The following is a 19,109-nucleotide window of genomic DNA, read 5'->3' as shown; positions in this document are numbered from 1 at the left end:
CAGGACTGAGCCCCTAAAGGCCCCAGCGGCTTCCGAAGGCATCTGCTGCCCCCTGCTGCTCATGCAGGGAAGGCCCTGCAGCACAGGTCTCTGAGGTGTTGGGGGTCCTCCCTCCATGCTCACCAGCCCCCAGACACCATTGCCCACTCTGTCCCTACAGGGCTGGCTCTAGCCCGCCCCATCCCATGTGGTCCCGACTCTCTGGCCCCCACCTCCCCGGTCTTCCCAGGCGGCCCGGAGAGGGGAGATCTGTGCTCCCCGGGGAGGTTCCCCACCCCTACCCGAGGGTCAAGCAGGGACCGGTCAGAGGCCTCAGGGCCTGGCTGAGTCTGGAGAGGAGCCCCTCCCCCGTCCTTGTCAGGGGACCCTGGTGAGCGGGCCCGGGCCCTATTTCTGCATCCCCTCCAGGCTCCAGCCGGACACACAGTGGCAGGAGAAGGCGTTTATTGCAGTGGTCCTGCAGGGCGGCCTGGGCAAGTGCCTGGGCTCAGCGGGGAGACAGAGGCATGTGGTGCATTCAGGAGTGGGGCAAGGGCAGGCGCAGGCGAAGGCGGGGCTGCAGGGCCAGCATGCGGTCCACCTCCCTGGCTGGCCGCAGGGGGTGCCGCTGGGCAATGGGCCGCCGGGCGTGGGCCAGCATGTCTGCCCAGTGCTGCAGGGGCTGCCCCGAGGCCCGGGCACCCAGGTGCACCTTGCCTACGGGCTCAGTTCGGAGCGGCAGGCTGCGGTCCCAGACAGCCAGCACCAGGTCCACATTCTGTGCAGAGACAGGCCAGAGGTTGGAGTTGGGGGAGAAAGACCACAGTCATCGTGGTCTGGCACTGGGTCTCGCTCTGCCCCTGCCTCCCGGTGGCCCACCTGGACCTGGCTGAAGGGCACCAGGAAGGTGAAGGCCTCATTGAAGTAGGGGGCCGCCGTGCCCTTTTTGGTGGCTGTCTTTCTCTTCTTCCACTTCCTCTGGTTCAGCATGAGCTGGACCTTCACGTAGGGCTCTGGGAGGGCAAGGTTGCCGAAGGGGCATCCCAGGGCTCGGGGCTGAGCACGGGCCCCCCCTCTGTACAACAACGTGGGCAGGTGTGACCCTCACCTGCAAGTCCTGGACGCAGGCCTCGAGCCTCCAGCACCACCACGGTCAGCCGGCCTGAGCTGGGCACGTACCGGAGAGAGAAGCACAGCTCCCCGACCTGCTCGGGCTGTGGGCAGCAAGAGGGGCTTCAGCCCGGGAGGGTGATTCTGGCCGAGTTGGGGCTCAGACCCCCGAAAATGCTGCCCATCAGGCCTGTCTTTCCGATGGCCCATAGGGCAGGGTCCCTGCCAGCTCTGCCTTGGGCTGTGGCCTGGTGACCAGCACCTCACCTGAGTGGCAGCCGGCGGGCCCAGCAGGTACCAGTGCTCCAGAACATGCTGCAGATCCACGGTGCCCAGTGGCAGACGGAGCTCACCCAGGGGCTCATGCCCCGAGAAGCGCTTGAAGTTGAAAAGCTGCACCTGCAGGGTGGCCCCTGGCAGCTCCGCCTGCGGGATCTGAGGCAGCGGCGTGAGCCAGGCCCTGCTGCCCTAGCTCAGGCCCACCCAGCTGCCCAGGCCCACCCAGCTGCCCAGGCCCACCCAGCCCAGGCCCATCCAGCCGTCCAGGCCCACCCAGCCGACCATCCCTGACTCACGTGGAAGCAGCAGGTCTCGTCAAACACGGGGCAGAGCGTGCCTCGGTGCACTTTTGTCTCATGTCTGTGTCCGGCCTGGGTGGAGACGCTGACCCGGGCATAGGGGTCCACGGTGCCCCCAGGCCTCAGGTCGGCTGCCTGCCTCAGGCCCACCCTGATCTGGGAGCCAGCGGGGTGGGCTCAGCCAAGGGCCCCTGCCCTGTCAGCTCCCCACCACCCAGGGCATGGGGTCTGCCCTTCCCCCGTCACCCTTTCCGGAAACTCGCAGAACCGCTGGTCCTGCGCAGCGGGGCCCTTCACCTCCTGGCTTCCAAAGTCGAACTCCAGGGAGAGCTGCAGGCACCCCCATTGCTGAGCATCCCCCGGGCTGGACTCCAGGCCATCCACATCAGGTTGCACCTGGAGTGAGTTGGGACAAGGGGCAGGTGGTGCTGACATCATGCCTCATCAGAGCCCTGGGCTCCCGGGCAGCCCTTGCATGACATGGGTCAAGACCCCCCGCCTCCAGGCCAGGCCACCCAACAGGCACAAATCGTCGGCTTCGCTCTGTGAGACCGGCCAAACCCACCCAAAACGTGGCATCTGGGGTACCCCCTGCCTTCCTCAAGAACCCGCTGTGGCTCCCTCGGGCCCATGGGGCAGCCCCTGTTGCATGGCCTCCTTCTCACCTCTGTTCACCCACTTTCCCTGCCAGGAAGGTCCTCAACGCCCTGCCTCTGTGGGGGTTAAACCATCCCTGGGGCTGAACTCGCCTCGCTGCCCTGGGCTCTGGAGCCTGGATTTCAAGCCCTCTCTGGACTGAGTGAGCAAGGAGCCGCTCCTCACCAGGTGGGTGGTGGTGGTGCCGCGGGCACTGCCCAGACCCACGGACTCCTTGTCCCTGGGCTTCTTCCTGTGGCGGCGGCAGCAGCAGCAGGCAGCACAGAGGAGGCAGGAGACGAGGAGGACGCCCGCGGCAAGGGCGCCGGCAATGAGAGCCCAGCGGGGCCCTGGGGTAGAGGCCAGGCTGAGTGCATCTGTGGACAGCTGCAGCCCCCACTTGGCTGGGTTATCCCCACACCCCTCTTGGGAATCCCACAACTCACAGGGGGTCCCGGCGACAAGGTCTGGAATAAGCCCAGGTATAGCTGTGGTGCCAGCTGGGGCCGGGGCACTGGGAGAGACTGGTGGGTGCCCCATCTTTCTACCCTGCTGGTTTGGAAGAAGCGGCCCAGGAGGCTGGGTCAGCTGGGAGGGTGGCCCCTCCGGCCCCTGCCCGCTACCCCATCTGACTAGCAGCAGCCAGTGCTGGGTCTGCCAGGGCAAGGAGGCAGCACGGGGTGGCCAGGGGCGAGGGTTCTGTGCAGCAGGAAGCTGAAGGGAGGGAGGCTCTGGACCCTGGCCAAAGCTCCAGCTTAGCTGCCCAGGCCCAGCCTCCCAGCCACCTCCCAGCAGCCCCCAGCCCCAGCCAAGCAGGCAGGGCCTGGGCAGCCTAGTCCCTGCCTTCACCGGACCTCAGAGCACCCTTGCCCCCACTGTAGGATGCGTCCTCCACCAGGAAGCTCTCTCCCTCCCTGCTTCTCTCTCCTGGGCCCTGGACCCTGGGCCCTGCCTGGGGGTCCCATCTCATCCCTGGGGGTCTCATCTCTGCGGTCCCATCACTTCCTTGCCTCTACCCCAGCACGCACCACAGCTGGGGCCCACCATGGTTTGCCAGCCATGCAGGTGGAGCATGTTCACTGCAGCCCCCAGGAACTTGGAAGCCCAGAGGGGTCTGCAGGGTCATGGCGGGAGGAGCAGGGCTGGCTGTCGGCGGAGCTCACTGAGCAGGCCTGGGCTAAAGGTGCATTCCTGGCAGGGGCTCAGGGCCGCAGCGCCTGAGGATGAAGGTGAGGTGGTGGCAGGTAGGGGCAGGGTGCAGCTGGGAGCGGCCAGAACATTCCACACACACTGACTCAGCCGCTGCCTGGACTCGTCCACCTGCCTGCCTGGCCACCCTTCGGCATGTGGGTGGGAAGGAAGGTGGGGCGGGCGCAGCTGCTGGCCCCTGTACCCGCCTGCCTAGGGCCTGGGGAGGGAGCACACCTGGCTGGGCTGGCTCCTGTCACCTACAGGCAGGGGAACCAGGGTGCTACATGGGGCCTACGGTGACCCCAGGCCCAGGGTGACTCCCCAGCTCAGCTCTTCCCTGACTCCACCCGCTCCAGAGAGCAGCAGCCAGCCAGGAGACTCTGTTCCTCCACATTGGCGCCTCCCCTGCTTTGCCCACAAGAGCCTGGGACCCCTCTTGCCATGTCCAAGTCAGCCTGGCCTCAGGGGCCCAGCCCAGGCCATCCCATCGGGAATAAGCAGCTGTTGAGGCCAGATACCCTCACCTCTGCAGCCCCCCAGTCTGGGGCAGAGCAAGGAGACAGACAGAAAGGGACCCTGCCATGACTCCAGACACACACACACACACACACACACACACACACACACACACACACACACGCACGCGCACACAGCATCAATGCCCCACTCCCTGGCAGGCTGGGAGAGGCAGCTGCACTCCCAGAACGGACCCAAACCCCCAGTGTTCAGATGAGGGGGCTGCAGCTCAAGGAGGGGAGGGAGGGTCCAGGTTCCAGCCCCACACGCATGTTGACCCTGTGAGGTCAGCAGGCCAGGTGTTTTACAGACGAGTGGACCGAGGCTGGGAGCTCTAGTTTTGTGGCTCTGGAGGCCAGCATGGCCTGGGAAGCCCAGCCTGTCCCCAGAACACAGGGGCCAGCACAATGGAGGGATTATAGGTACAAAAAGGAGATGCGGAGGTCAGGGCCAGCTTTCCAGGCTGCACCCTGTGCGCAGGGCCCCATGCTCAGAGGGGTCCCTGCTTGGTTTAATGCGTGCTGGGGCCATCTTGAAATTCTTAATTTTGGAACAAGATGCTGCACATTTTCATTCTGCACTGGGCCTCACAAATGACGGAGCTTGTCGAGTTCGGGGGACCCTTTGGGTGAGTCCCCTGCAGATGCAGTGTGGGTGTGCAGTGAAGCTCACGGGCCTCGGCAGCCCCTCAGCTCCTGGGGGACACTCCCAGGTGGGTCCGGCGTCCCACACGTGGCTGGCGGAGCGCTCCTACTGGTGGTGGCTGATGGAATGGGCTGGGTCCGCAGGGTCCCTGGAGCGGGACTGTGCCGGCCAGATTCAAACAGGCCACTGCCTCCTCCCTACGTGGAGTTTCAAGGCAACTTCTCTTTTTGAAATGTCAGAGCCTGTATACATGCTGAGATTAAAGTAGCTTCACTCCAGATTTTTATGGTTGAGATTCCGGATAAGTTGCCAATACAGAATCTCCATCTGTGAGTGCGGGCATGTGTGCGTGTGCGTGTGCGTGCGCCCCTCCCCTGTGCCCCCGCTTTGCTGGCGTCCCCCCTCCTTTAGTCTAAGAACAGTCAGGGCCGGGCGGGGAGAGCTCCCCTGCAGTGATTTGCCGCGGCCGGCCAGCGGCACTCCCGGGCCAGCCTGGTGACCTTGTCCCCAGAGGAGCACAGGGGCCACCCAGAAGCTGCTCCGGAGAACCCCAGGACCCTGGGGGCGCTGGCTGCCGATGCTGGGGGTCCCAAAGCCTGGGGAGGTGCGGGGTCCCTCCGGACCGCCGGGACCCCAGGGAGGTGCAGGTGCAGCGGGCGCATGGCCACCAGGTGGCGCCGTCCGCCCCTCGGGACCCGGCCTCCCTCATGGCTCCCGGGGACAGTGCCCTGGAGACCCTTGGGCGCTGGGGGCTCTCGGGTCTCCCCTCCCAGATCTGGGAATCCCCCGCCCTCCCTGCCTGAGCCTCCCGGGGCTGCTCTCCCCGTTGTCTAGCTTTGGCTGTCTGTCTCCTGTGGCCCTGCTGGGAAAACCTTCTCTGGGAGTTCACGCCATGTTTTCCCAGGAAAGGGAGACGGTCCCTCCTCCCCGGCTCCCCCCTGGCCACCGCTCCAGCGGGCTCCTTAAGGCTCTGGAAACCGGCTCCTCTCTCCCCACGAAGGCGGCTGCTCTGCTCCTGCAGCTGCCAAGCTGCTTAGAAGGCCTCTCCGCATCCCCATCCGACTCACCCTCCAAGGCCAGCGTGAGCCCACCTCTTCCAGGGAACCCTCCCTGGTCACCCCAGGACCCCCAGACCTGCCATGACGTTTTGTGCTGAATTCCACCCCGTTAGGGCCCCCAGCCCCCACCAGGCAGAACGGGGGTGAGCCCCTCCTTTAGACTTCATGTTAGCCCAAGGCGGGCACCATTTCAGGCTTGCTAATGCTTCCCTCCAGGGTGAGTCTATACGGAATGGTTTCTGCTTCCGTGGGAACACCTTTCCGTGAGCCCTTCCTCTGGAAAAGCAACGTTTCCCCGAGTGCTGGGGCTGGCAGCCCCCCAGGTGTAAATGCTCTCACCTGACGCCCACCACTTCCTGTGGCCGGCCAGCCACCAGGCCTTCCTCTCAGACACCCGAAGGCGGGTCCAGCTCTCGGACAGCACTGCCTCTGGTGACGGGGAACTCTCTCCTGGGGTAGGAGGGGGTGCGGGGGCCAGGGCTGCAGGAACCCCACCTTGTGGCCGGAACTGCTGGCCCGTGATAGCTGGGCAACTCCCTTTGGGAGGAAGGTCTCCCCAAGACGCAGAGGCTGAGCATCTGGGCTCCAGCCTATTTCCAAGGGTCCCTTGGGGCTGGGGGCACCCTGAGCCCTACCTAGCTTTGCAGGAGGGGGCGATGGGCCCGTCAGGCTGGCCTTGGTGAGGGGCAGCAGGAGGTGGCCTGGCTGAACCTGGTTTGAGCAGGTTCTGCACGACGGGGAGGGGTCCTGAGGTGCAGGGCTGCCTGGCTTGGAAGAGGGCATCCTCAGGTGCTGTGGGCTGGGGGGAACCAAGTGTGAGGAGGGTAGGGGCCGGGCGGGGGCTGCCCTGGGCAGTGTGGGGCAGGGGGCTCACAGAGAGCCAGGTGGGCCGGCTTGGCTCCGCCACTGCCTCTGCTTCCAGCCCCAGGCACCTTCGGGCCATTCCCCTCTGTGCCTTTGTCTCCTGCTGGGCTGACCCAATCCCTTGAGTTCTTGGTTTCCTAATGAGTGATCCTCTTATCAGCTGGCCCCCGGGTGAGTGGCTGGAAGTCCTCACTCTGGTCTAACCTCAGTGCCTCTTGCTTCAGTTGGACCCCCGAGCAGAGCCTATAGCCTAAGCTCCTCTCCCTCTGCTCTGCCAGTTAGTCTGGTCTGGTCACTCTAGTCAGATCCATGACTTGGGCCTACCGAGGAGCAGCCATCCCAGGTCAGGGCGTTCCCTCAGAGCCCTTATCTGCTGGTGGTTAATGCTTAACGGGAAAACCTGTCCCAGCGGGGCCGGCCCCACGGGGCTGGTCAGGCAGCAAGTGTGGAGGACATAGCCCAGGCTCCGAGGATGCTTTCGGGCCACAGCAGGAGGACGTGTGGGCATGCATGTGCACGTCTGGGCCCGTCCGGTCACACGCGGCCCTGGGCGTGTGGGGACTTGTACGTCCTTCTGGTGTTTGCACAGGGTATGGGTCTGTCTCCTAGTCTGACTCAATCTGGGATGAGAAGGGCCAGAGGCTGCCCTAGTGGGGCTTTTAGGCAAGCAAGGGGACACATGCAGGGGGTGGCTCGACGCTGGCCCCAGGGTACAGCTGAGCTACGTGCCCTGCGCGCGGTTCTCTGCAGCCAGCTGTGTAGGGGCTTTGTACTTTCCCCAGTATATGGGCGCCTTCACAGCCAGACTGGCGTCTGAGGTTCCAGGGCAGGAAGGAGAAAACCAAACAGAGCTGGAGCCCGAGGCCAGTCCCGAGGCCCCGAGACGGTGGCTTGGCAGCCAGCAGCCTCATGGAGACCCTGGTGGGGCTCCTGGATGGGGACGCTTCCTCTGAGGTCGCCTGGGGAATGCTTGAGGTTGGACTGCAAAGCAAGCGCTGGCTCTGGGGAGCCAGGAGTCACTGGCACACAAAGAAAAGTGTGCTGGGTGAGCGCGTGTTTGCCCCACCCACTCTGACCCCAGCTGCTGAGCCCTGCAGGGCTGGGGCACCCTCATCAGCTGGGGCCCGGGATGGCCGGGGATGGGGGAACTCAGCTTGCCACAGTTCTCTGTGCTTTGGGATGCCCTATGCCCATTCTCTGTGTCTTAGCTTGTGTGTGCCACACTCACCTTTCATGCATACTGTCTGTGCCTCTTCATCCCGGGAGGCTGTACCCCATCAACCAGGCATCTGGGGAGGCTGCACCCCATGACCTGAGCCTCTGGGGAGGCTGCACCCCATCACCGAGCCTCTGGGAGGAGGCTGCACCCCATGACCTGAGCCTCTGGGGAGGCTGCACCCCATCACCGAGCCTCTGGGAGGCTGCATCCCATGACCTGAGCCTCCGGGGAGGCTGTACCCCATGACCTGAGCCTCCAGAGAGGCTGCACCCCATCATCGAGCCTCCGTGGAGGCTGCACCCCATCACCGAGCCTCTGGGAGGCTCTGCTCCGTCTTGGGCATGGGGGTCTGCACCCTCTGAACATGGCTGGTGCTGATTCCATGGGCTCAGTTCCTATCCTCTGAGAATCTGCATCTGGATTTTGGTGATGAAAACCCCATGTCTTGAAGTGTCTGGGTGGCCACCCCCGTCACCTGGAAGTCTGGGGGCATGTAACCCACTCCTCAAATGGCTGGTACTGCAGCCACCATGTCAGAGGACGGGGGTTCTCCCGGTCCTCCCCGCATTGACCTCATCTCCCAAGGGCCTTGGGGACCTCATGGCAGGGGCCTGATCCCCCACAACTTTTGTGTGGACCCCATTTACCTTGTTTAGGGGGGTCTGTGTTCATGGGGAACCCTGGCATCAGCATCTTTACACCCCACGCCTGAGAGTGCCTGGGAGACACAGCTTGGGGACCTGAGTGCCTGTGCAGCCCCCTCCCTCATGCCCAGGGCCAGGTGACCTGCCCCTCCTTGGTCTCCTGTTGTCACCAGGGTGCCACGACAGCGTGCCCCCCACCTGTTGAACCCTCTGAATCCCCCATGACACATGGTACTTAAGCCTGGGTGTCAGCCCAGGGCCGGGAGCCTGGTGCCTCATTCCTGTGGTTTTGGACGTCCTGTGCTCCAGGCATCTCACTGCTGGGTGCACCTCCTCTGCCCTCGTGTCTGCCCTGTCTGAGAGCTGCTCATTCCCATGGCTCTGTAATGTGCCTCTGAGGAGCTGAGCTTCCACCTCAATTCACTGACATCTAGACACGTGTACCCCATTATTCTAAATACCTAGAGCCCTGTACTCCATTGGTGTCAGTGTGTGGGTTCCTGTCCCCATCAGCCTGAGCATCTGGGTCTCTGGACCCCATTACTGTCAGTGTGTGGGTTCCTGCACTCATCAGCCTGAGCGTCTGGGTCTCTGGACCCCATTGCTTGGAGGCTTGGGCAAGTTTCTGTCCATCCGCCCTCTTGACAGTTCTGGAGCCGGAACGCTAATCACTCGAATACCTGGATGACAGAGAAACGGGCCCTGATACCCCACTTGTCTGAGTATCTGGGCAGCGTGGATCCCAGGACTCTGAATGTCGTGGTGCCCTATATGTCAGAAGTGAGGTTATCTTACCCTGAGAGCTCCGGCTGTCTCCTTCCACCCGAGGGGCTGGTAACCCTTTCTGCAGCTCTCTCAGCGCAGGTGCAGCGGGTGCTCCTAGCCCACATTTCTGAGTGGTGTGTGTCTGGAATCCTCTGAGAGTGTGGGTGATATTGCACACATCTGCAAAGGTGCCCCCAGTCCCCTGAGGACAGAAAGCATAGCCCTTATTCACCCACGTGTCTGGACACACACCCTCCCTTCTGGTCCCACTGCAGGGGGCCCTCTTATTGTGAAGGTTCAGGTCCTGCAGACCCAGTCACTCAGACAGTTTGGCTCCAGTACCTCCTTACCTGAGTGTCCGGCAGCTGACTGGGTGTCCTACCCCCTCCTCCGACCATCTGAGTAGTGAGGACTTCAACCATCACCCTGACGGGCACTCTGCCCTGGGTTTTCGGGTCTCGGGACGCTCCACCCCAACCCTCTGTGCGACGGCTTACCTCGCCCCCTGCAGCGTCGGGAGCTGTGCACCCACATTCCAAGCCCTCGAGCCCCCCTCTTCTCTAGCTGCTTGAGGGCTTTGATGCCTTGTACCCTGTCCGTCAGGGTCTTCAGCAGCCTAACCCCCACTGCCTGCCTCGAACGCAGATGCATATCCCAGGTCGAGGGCCCCAGTGCCAGTTCCAAGTTCCCCTGTTTCTTTGGACGCCTGCTGCCCTTTCATCAGCGGCTGTCTCGGCCGTGGGAGCTACATTCATCCCTGTCCAGACACCCCTGTGCCCTATTCACGAATTCTCAGCTTCATCACCTAAGCCTCCAGGGGTTTGTGCCCCTTCCTCAGAGGCCTGAAGTCCTCACAATCCCAGAAGCATCTGAGAGACATGAACCCCACTGACCCTAAAATTGGGTGCCTTGTCCCCCCACGACCCTGCACAGCCAGCGACATGCCCTTTGCCTGTGACTGTAGATGCCCATCTGGAATCAGGGTGCCGTCGCTCATACACCCCTCCTGAGCATCTGGACCACGTGTCCCCGTGAGTCTGAGTATTGGGGTGCTCTGCTCCCCATTCATCAGGGGTTCTTAGCAGTGTGTGCCGTCAGCCACCTGTGCCCCGCACCTCACACAGGCCGAGTCCCAGGCTGAGGGCCCCCAGTGCCGGTTCCAGGTCCTGCTGCATCTTTGGACACCATTCACCGGTGTCTCGGCCTGTGTGAGCCCATTCACCCTTGTCTCGGGGCCTGGGTTCATGCGCAGCTCCGGGCAGTCTGCACCCCATCCGCCCACGTCTCAGAGACAGTCTGTGCATTGTCGCCCTGTTCCAAGAACAGCTGCCGTGCAGCCAGCAGGCACATTCCAGGGTTTGGCCAAAAGCCAATGCAAACCCTCATACTGCTGGCACTAGCAGCACCGAGTGGGGGCAGACGCAGGGACTGACCTAGGTGGGGCACGAGGGGAGAATGGGGACCCACAGTTTGGAGCCGTGTGCTCAAAGCCTTCCCTGTACACACAGGGGCCTGGAGAGCAGGGGGTGTCGGGGTGTGGGAGCCCAGTCCCCGACAGAGGCATGTCCTGGACCAGCTGCCAGAGGGACCAGCGAGTGTGCAGGCTGGAGGAATGTTCCAGGGCCCTCCACCGCGTTGCCATTTCCTGCCCAGGCTGCCTTGGCCACCCACCCACTGGCTGCCCGGGCTGGGACACATGGCGGCCTGGCTGTCAGATGTGTCAGCATCGCCTTGGGACAGGGTCCCAAGGCCAGAGAAGTGGGGGACAGAGGCAGGCAGTAGGGGTGTGACACCTCTGGGGGCTGCAGACCCCTGCCCCTGCTCCAAACCTGGCTGGGACGCTGGGTGCTGTGAGGCTGTGGCCCAGGGAGGGAGCCCATTGGAGCCCATTGAAACCCGCGCCCCCACCCACTCTGACTCTTTGCGGGAAGGCCCTTCGCTCAGCCTCCCAAGTTTCCTGGCAGTGCGCTCCCTGGAGGTCAGAAAATGACGTGGTGTGCATGCAATGTCTCCTGTCCTGGGGATTCCTGGGGTCACCCTGGAGCTGCCCCAGCTTTCCAAGCCCTGTGTGAGTGCGAGCTGGGTCCTACCCACCAGGGCCCCCGTGGGAGAGATGAGCGGGCAGGCTATGGGATACGCAGGGGCCGTCTGGGCTCTCTGGGAGGTGGATGGGGGGCTGTTCAGGTTTTCTGGGGAAGAAGAGGAGGCCTAATTCAGGCTCTGTGGTGGGCAGGGTGGTTTGTATCCCTGGATAGGAGGGCAGTGGGTCCCACCCTGTGGGGTCCCCACACTTAGGACCCGGAAGTCGCAGTTGACCCCCAGGTTGGAGAGCCCCGGGGCCCCCACCTGTCCTGGTGCTGCATCCTCCCTGCCCCGCCCCCTTTCTACTTGCTCGGGATTCCAGCCTCGTTCCCACGGCTGCTGGCCCCACACTCTCCAGGCACCCCCAGCTCAGGGGCAGACCAGAGGTTTGGCTTTCGGAGCCCCCCGGGGTTCCTGGTAGGATGAGCCAGGAGCTCCCTTCAAGCAGGTGGGGGACTTGCAGGTGCGACGGGGGCTTTTCCACACCTTGACCAGGCTGGACCAAAGCCCCGCGGCACCGCCTCCACCATGCACGCACCTGCCGTGAGCAAACGCCCTGCGTGCAGGCCCCACTGTGGGCAGACGTCACTGCGTACAGGCATCACTGCATGTAGGCGTCACTGCGTGCAGGCCCCACTGTGGGCAGACGTCACTGCGTGCAGACGTCACTGTGGGCAGGCCCACTGCGTGCAGGCCCCACTGCGTACAGGCATCACTGCGGGCAGGCCCACTGCGTGTAGGTGTCACTGCATGCAGGCATCACTGTGTGCAGACATCACTGCGGGCAGGCCCCACTGTGTGCAGGCATCACTGTGTGCAGACATCACTGCGTGCAGGCCCCACTGTGTGCGGGTGTCACTGCGGGCAGACCTGGGGCAAGGGTTGTGTGACACAGGAGTCCAAGTAAGTGGCTGCTGGGCTCAGAGAATAAGGAAGGAGCCAGGGTCACCCACGGCCCCCAGCCCCACCCTGGCTACAGAGTCCTCCCTGCAGTTCCAGAGGGCCCCTCCAGCCAGAGGGTTTCGGGCCTGGAGCACGTGGCATCCTGAGGGCCGCACTTCTCCCACTGCCCTCGAGCAGGCTTGGTGCATCTGTGATGCGGGTCGGGGCTCCTCGTTGCCCAAGCCCTGACTGGGGCCCCCCACCTGCCTGGCCGGTGGGCTAGGGGTTGAGTCCCAGCTCCCCTGAGTTGGCTCCAGGGTGGCTCAGGATCCAACCCAAGGTGCCCTCAGGGCCTTTCTCAGCCTCCCCCATGGGCATCCCCAAGGGTGGCTGCTGGCCGGGGATGACCGACTGGCCCCAAACAAGGCACCTCTGCCATGGGGGTCCCAGCAGGAAAGCCTGGGCTGCACGGGGCAGAGGTTGCTGGCAGAGCTGGATCATTTGGGCTCCAAGCTCCCCCTGCTGTCTGCTGGCCGCTCCTGGAGGTGGCCTGACCTCCGGCTCCCGCCCGACCCCTGCTCCCTCCCTGCCCTACGGGCCAGACTCCGCCTGCTGCCTCCCAGCCCAGCCTGCCGGCCTGGCAGGCGTTCGGGCGCCCCCTTCCGTACACAGGCCTCTCGCAGGCCTCTCCAGTGCAGGCCTGGACCCTCCTGCTCCCAGGGGCGCCGTCCTGGGACCCCTGACTGTTCAGAGCCTTCCTCCTGGGGTCCCTCTCCACAGGGGCCCTTTTTCTAGATAAAAGTCTCTGTCCTGGGAGCCTGGTCTGCACAGAAGCCTCTGAACTGGGGTCTCTTTGGAACAGCTCTCTGCCCTGGGACCCTCCGTCCCCAAAGGAGCTCAGAGCAGGGCAGTTCGTGACCCCAGGAGATCCAGATCATCCTGGAAGGGGTTTTAGCTTCCTGATCTCAGATGTTCCCCTCGCCCCCAACCCAGAGGGTCACCTTAAGTCCTTGACATTGAGGCATGAGAAGCCACCACTGAAGTCATCTGAGTGGCTGGGAGAGAAGGAGAAAAAGACCCAGCGAAGCCGGAAGGCCACCCAGCATGTCGGGGTCTGTGGAAGTTGGCAACCCAGCAGGACTCATCTTCCCTGGGGTGACATGGGAACACCAGGCCTAGGCCCACACTTCGCGGAACAGGGGTGCACAGACTGCCCATGTCGGGGTCCAGAGGGGCCTGCCTAACACTAGGCATCAGCTTGCAGGCGGAAGAGGACAGGAGACCCTTTCTGGCAGTGTCAGCCCCAGCCCTCACCTGTGAGTGTGGGCGCTTGACCCACACAGCCTCACACACACGCACACGCCAGGCACGGGCACACTGCTACGCACCTGTGCACACAATGCACGTGCACACTCACCCACGCACACACGTACTCGCTCTCTCCACGTCAGCCCCGCAGGTGACTCTGGGATCTCCACTGTCGCCCCGATTCTTGCAGCTGCCTTCTTGGTGGAAACATTCTGCAGCTTGTCTAGACTCTGCACAAACCTGCTTTGGAAGGGCCAGGTCTTAGTTCCCCGGAGGCCACTGGCTCCCTGCACCCTGCACTGCCCTCCTGGCCAAGGCGCACACAGAGAGACGTCAGGTGCCACCCAGCTCTGTGAGCACACGCTGGCAGGTGAGGGCATGGGTGGGTGCCAGGGCTGCCCAGCGCCTGCAGGTCTCACCGCCTCTACCTCTGCTCCTCACCACTGGCCACTTCCTTTGGCTCCCAGTGGGGCACATGGGGTCCACCAGTGGCCAGCACAGTGGCCAGCCAACCAAATCTGGCCTCATCCAGCAGGATGGAGAGGAGGCTGGGCCCACCCTCCTCTGGGCACCCTCCACCCAGCCCCAGCCAGCGGGTACGGCTGTCCTGCCTTTCCCGCCTCTGACAGCCACAGCATGTTCCAGCCACGCTGGATCGCGGGGGCTTCCTGTTCACCTCCATTAAGTCTGGGGTGGCTCTCAGCCTCCAGCCTCTGCCACCTTTTTAGGGCCAGATTCTGAACAGAGGTGAAGACATGCAAGAGCCTGGTGCTGGGCGGGGGAATATGGGGGCCTCCAGAGGCCTGTAGCCCACCTGCCCCCTGGGTATGCTGCCCCTCACTCCAGCCTGCCCTCCCAGGCCTGGCCACCAGCAGCCCCTTGGGCCTCCCTGTCCATGCTCACCCTCTCCAGAACTGGACATGGTCAGGGGCTGGTAGGTAAGGGACTCTGACCTTCGGGAAAGGTCCTCCCCGGGTCAGAGCAGACCCACCCACAGGGTGGCTCGTCTTCCCAGGGATGGCACGGGAACACCAGGCCTAGGCCCATGCTTCGGGGAATAGGGGTGCACAGACTGCCCATGTGGGGGTCCGGAGAGGCCTGCCCAGCGCTAGGCAAGAGCCTAGGCCCACAGTGTTTACCAGGGGAAAAGAGCCCAGTGGGCCTTCAGTGACCTGGGAGTTGTCCTAGGACTGGAGATCAGAGGGCCAGTGTTCTAGGCAGAAGCAATGCAGGCACACAGCAAGGGCGCAGGACCAGCTCGCCAGAATCCAGCCAGGCTATGTTGACCTAGAAGCTGCCCTGCGGTGACCTGGGGACCTGGAACTTCCCAAGCTCCTCTCTCTCCTTGCCTGGAGACCCTGACTGGCTCCCAGCTGCACTTCCAGCCCACTTGGCTGCTTGTTTGCCCAGTGCCCACAGGGCAGGGTTGGGGGATTAGCTCAAAGTAGGCCAGCAAAGGGCTGGTTCTTGCTAAGGCTGCCGGCCGGAAAGGCAGCATCTCCAAATATAGAGAACTCTGGAGGGCTCAGGGCAGGCCCTAGGGTAGAGAGGAGGGTTGGCCTGGGGGTGGTGGCAGTGGAACCTCTCTACTGCTGGCCTCAGTGGCTTCTTCAGGCCCTAGAGTCACCTCATGGTGACAGCTGCTTCTGGCTGGGTTGGCTGATTGTTGGTGGCCCAAAGCCAACCCTCCCCTGGTTACTCTCGGCCACCCCTCCCTGACCTAACTGTGGGCATATCTGGCTGGCGTGAGGTGTGGGGTGTGGGGTGTGGGGCTGAGGAAAGTTCCTTTAACCCATCCAGTCATCCTGGTAAAAGAGCTGTCTGGGTTTGTGTGTCTGCCTGTGTGTGTTCCCCTCTGTGGTTCCAAGAATCCTCCTTGGCTCTTGAGTTTCTGTGGGCCCCTGGTGTACTTCTGGTACTTGTGGGTGTGTCTGAACTTCTGGGTCATCCACAGGCCCCAGCTTCTGTCCTCTCTGTGGGCCCATCTGATCTCCAGGGGCCTGGGTAAGCCTGCATTTCTGTGGGTCCTAGCATGGCACCCAGAGACGCTTGGTGTGGGTCCCTCTGCCTACTAGCTGCAGGATGCTGAGCAAGAAGGAGGGCCCTCCTGAACCTCACATGCCCCCTCTGCAGTACACACATCCAAGGGCTGCCATAAGTTACCACGTAGGAAGCGCGGAGAGCTGTAAGGTGGCTGGGATGTCAGAGGCTATTCCTGCTAGTGTGTGTTCATCTGCCTGTCCATGGGGCTCTGTGTTTGCAGGTATGCTCATATCTGTCATTTCCTTCATCCTCTGTGTGCCCCTATCTATCCTCTCTCTGCATCTATCTATCTAGCTACATGGATAGCCAGGTGGATAGGTAGATAGATTGGTAGCTAGCTAGCTAGCCACTCACTCATTTACCCGCTAATCCACCCACCTATCTACACAACCATCTATCCATTCACACAACCATTCATCCATCCATCCATTCACTCAACCATTCATCCATCCATCCATTCATCCATCTATCCACTCAACCATCCATCCATTCCTCTATCCACTCATCCACCCACTCATCCATCCACATCTATCCACCCAACCATCCATCCATCCATCTATGCATCCTTCCATCCATCCATCCATCCATCCATGCATCCATCCATCCATCCATCCAATCATCAGTCCATCCATCCATCCATCCAATCATCAGTCCATCCATCCATCCATCCATCCAACCATTTATCCATCCACTCATCTACCCACTCATTCATCCATCCACCCATCCATTCATCTACCCACTCATTCACCCATCCATTTATCCACTCAACCATCCTTCCATCTACCTATCTATCCATCCATCTATCCATCCATCCATCCATCCATCCATCCATCCACCCATCCATCCATCCATCCATCCACCTACTCATCTGTCCACTCATCCACCCACCCATTTATCCACCCAAACATCCATTTATCCATTCATCCATCCATCCATCCATCCATCCATCCATCCATCCATCCATCCACACATTCATCTACTCATTCATCTACCCGCTCACTCACCCACTCATCCATTCACCAATCCATCCACCCAACCATTCATCAACCCAAGCATCCATCCATCCATCCATCCATCCACCTACTCCATTTTGCCTTCTCTCCCTCCTTCTTCTCCTCCCTCCCTCCCATGTATGACTTTATGCAGTCATGGAGGTGGTGCTGGACACGCAGGCCCCAAGATTCTCATGGTAATAGTCAGTGGCTGTCATCCTGGCTTGCTGGGTCTGGCGCGATTCGTAAGCTGCCGCATTGTAGGTGTGGCCCCGTTGTTCTCAAGCTCCTATGTACCGAATATCTGTTGCAGCTTGTAGCTGTGCTGAGTGAGTAGGATGGTGCAGGAGCAAACTTTTAAGACCCACTGGGCGGTCCCTGGGTGATTTTAGGCTTCTCAGGAATTAGGCGTTCAGCTGCCAAGGCCAAGGTGGAGGGAAGCTGGGTTGTCCCTTGGGAACTTGAACAGTGGCCCCCAGGGCCACATGGAGGGAAGGAGTCCTAAAAGCTGCTGCTGGCCACACTCTGGCACACAGCATCCCTGACTCACAAATGCCCAGGGGCAATTTCTCCGTAACAAGTCACAACCCATGTTTACCTGGAGTGCTTGGTGGAGAGAAAGCCAGGTACCCACAGCTCTGAGGGGCTCCCCTGGCCCCTGGGCCTTTCCGTTTGAAGCTTGCCTTGTAGTCTGAAGGCAGATTATTCCCAAACCCTCTATTGGGAGAATTTTACACACACACAGAAACATTCCAAGGCTTCCTTAGATTCCATGAGTACCGCCAAACAGCCAGCCAGTGCCTCCCACCCTGCAACACCCTCTCTAGATTCCTTTTATTATAGCAAGCCGCAGTGGGCCTCTGTCTCTCTTCTCATGTTCCCAAAAGATAAGAACGCTTTTTCAAAAATCCATTTTCACAGCTAAACAAATACCAGTAATTCTTAAATATGATCAAACCTGGACAGGGCTCAAATTTCCCCCATTGTCTCATCAATGGATCTTACGGATGGTGTCTTCAAGTCACCCCACATGGAACTCATGTGCCATCTTGCTCCTGCGCCTCTGGAGCCCCCTTTGATCAATTAGTGCCTCTGTCTTTTCATTCTTGCCACTTATTTGTTGAAGAAGCAAGGGCGCTCATCCTAAGGAGTTCCCAACATTCTGGGTTTCACAAGTCGCAACACAGCGTTTCAGGTGTCTTTCCTTACTCTATAGTGCTGAGGCCTGATCAGTGTAAGGTCAAGCCTTTTGGCAAGGCCGCTTCATGGAGGGAGATGGCACTTCCTTTGTGCATGGCGGGAGGCACTGGATGTCCTGGAACTTCCTCCTGGGATATGGGGCTGATCAGTGAGTAGGTTTGGGTGTAGCCAGCTACAGCCATAAGCCACTAAGTGCCCAGTGGCTTTTCTTTTCATGGTTTTAGCAGCTGCTGGTGACATTTCCTAGAACAGGGGTCAGCAAACTACAGTCGCCCCCGGCCAAATCTTATTCCCCATCTGTTTTTGTAAATAAAGTTTTATTGGAACATGGCCCCCACTCATTCACTTATGTACCATCTGTGACTGCTTTCATGGTACCATGGCTGTGGTGATTCCAAGAAGGTCCCCCCAGACTTTGTGCCGTGATTCCCAGAATTGTGAATAATTCTCACCCTTGTGAGTGTGTTATGTTGTCTGGCAAAAGGCATTTTGCGGATAAAGTTTAGGCTGCTGATGAGTTGACTTTAAAATAGAGAGAGGATCACGGTGGGCCTGGTTGAATCCCATGAGCCCTGTAAAAGCAGAGTTTGGGTTGTTTTTTTTACCCCCCAGCTGGTGGTAGGAGAGAAATTGAGAGGGATTCACAGTGATTCTCCTCGAGGAAGGCTCTCCATGAACCAGGGGAAAGGACTGAGCACGACCTCCTGCAGAGAGTCACCCTGCCTACAGCCAGCAGGAAGATGGGGACCTACAAACACAAGAACCGAATTGTGTCCACACCGTGAATGCCCCGAGAGTGGAGTCTTCCCCAGCACCTCCAGAGAGGAGCCCAGCCTGGCTGGCATCTGCTCTCAGCCAGTGAGGACCTAAGGAAAAAGCCCTACAGGAATGCCCAGAGCTCTGTTCCACAGGATGCACAGGATTTGTTTCACAGCTGGGTTTGTGGTGATTTATTACACAGTGATAAAAAACAGACACAATGACAGAGAGCAAATGGCCTGCAAAGACAGATGTGTTTGCAACTCAGCCCTTGTAGAAAACAACCACAACAACAAGCCCTAAGTTAGGTTTCTCAGTCTTGGCATTGTGGGCATTTGGGGCCAGGCTGTTAGTTTTCTATGGTGTGGAACAAATTGCCACAAACTTAGTGGCTTAGAACAACACATGTTTCTTATCTCACAGTTTTTGTGGGTAGAAGCCTGGGGCACAACTTAGCTGGGTTCTCTACCTCAGGATCCCATGGTGTCAGCTGGGGCTGCATTCTCATCTGAAGGTCCAACTGGGACAGGGCCTGCTTTGCATTCACTTAGCTTGTTGGTAGAATTCAGGTCCTTGTGGTTGTAGCACTGAGGTCCTCACTTCCTGCAGGCCACCCATAGTTCCCAGTCTTGTGGGCC

At 60.9% G+C, this 19,109-nt stretch overlaps 1 protein-coding gene across 9 annotated transcripts, besides 6 other annotated features; it reads right to left on the bottom strand.

Annotated features, from left to right (window-relative positions):
• Positions 25-134: a silencer, noted in NCBI's record as "silent region_3061". NCBI's record gives its function as "represses an Ori minimal core promoter by ATAC-STARR-seq in GM12878 lymphoblastoid cells {active_cell/tissue: GM12878}" and the evidence as "EXISTENCE:reporter gene assay evidence [ECO:0000049][PMID:35858748]".
• SYT8 (synaptotagmin 8) lies at positions 428-6,165 on the bottom strand. Of its 9 annotated transcripts, none has more exons than XM_011520455.2 (9): positions 6,053-6,165; positions 2,750-2,855; positions 2,490-2,653; positions 1,965-2,063; positions 1,665-1,823; positions 1,357-1,524; positions 1,088-1,193; positions 859-992; positions 428-757 (listed from the first exon to the last, which is right to left on the bottom strand). In XM_011520455.2, the coding sequence occupies exons 2-9, from the start codon at positions 2,841-2,843 to the stop codon at positions 518-520; spliced, it is 1,164 nt and encodes a 387-aa protein (XP_011518757.2). In that variant the 5' UTR covers positions 2,844-2,855; positions 6,053-6,165; the 3' UTR covers positions 428-517. The 9 variants fall into 9 exon arrangements, with proteins under 9 accessions (XP_011518757.2, XP_016874017.2, NP_001277261.2 ...); XM_017018528.2 differs by having other exon boundaries at positions 2,750-2,852; NM_001290332.2 differs by lacking the exon at positions 6,053-6,165 and adding an exon at positions 3,332-3,522.
• Positions 3,769-4,382: an enhancer, noted in NCBI's record as "H3K4me1 hESC enhancer chr11:1854797-1855410 (GRCh37/hg19 assembly coordinates)". NCBI's record gives its function as "activates a minimal SCP1, AML or CMV promoter by ChIP-STARR-seq in primed H9 embryonic stem cells {active_cell/tissue: H9 hESC(primed)}" and the evidence as "EXISTENCE:reporter gene assay evidence [ECO:0000049][PMID:30033119]".
• Positions 4,383-4,998: an enhancer, noted in NCBI's record as "H3K4me1 hESC enhancer chr11:1854181-1854796 (GRCh37/hg19 assembly coordinates)". NCBI's record gives its function as "activates a minimal SCP1, AML or CMV promoter by ChIP-STARR-seq in naive and primed H9 embryonic stem cells {active_cell/tissue: H9 hESC(naive and primed)}" and the evidence as "EXISTENCE:reporter gene assay evidence [ECO:0000049][PMID:30033119]".
• Positions 5,101-5,160: a silencer, noted in NCBI's record as "silent region_3060". NCBI's record gives its function as "represses an Ori minimal core promoter by ATAC-STARR-seq in GM12878 lymphoblastoid cells {active_cell/tissue: GM12878}" and the evidence as "EXISTENCE:reporter gene assay evidence [ECO:0000049][PMID:35858748]".
• Positions 5,221-5,430: a silencer, noted in NCBI's record as "silent region_3059". NCBI's record gives its function as "represses an Ori minimal core promoter by ATAC-STARR-seq in GM12878 lymphoblastoid cells {active_cell/tissue: GM12878}" and the evidence as "EXISTENCE:reporter gene assay evidence [ECO:0000049][PMID:35858748]".
• Positions 13,707-14,208: an enhancer, noted in NCBI's record as "H3K4me1 hESC enhancer chr11:1844971-1845472 (GRCh37/hg19 assembly coordinates)". NCBI's record gives its function as "activates a minimal SCP1, AML or CMV promoter by ChIP-STARR-seq in primed H9 embryonic stem cells {active_cell/tissue: H9 hESC(primed)}" and the evidence as "EXISTENCE:reporter gene assay evidence [ECO:0000049][PMID:30033119]".

This window comes from Homo sapiens, chromosome 11, assembly GCF_000001405.40.
Source record: "Homo sapiens chromosome 11, GRCh38.p14 Primary Assembly".
NCBI classification, from domain to species: domain Eukaryota; kingdom Metazoa; phylum Chordata; class Mammalia; order Primates; family Hominidae; genus Homo; species Homo sapiens.
The sequence above is the reverse complement of the archived record's forward strand: the minus strand, read 5'-3'. Positions and strand labels throughout refer to the sequence as shown.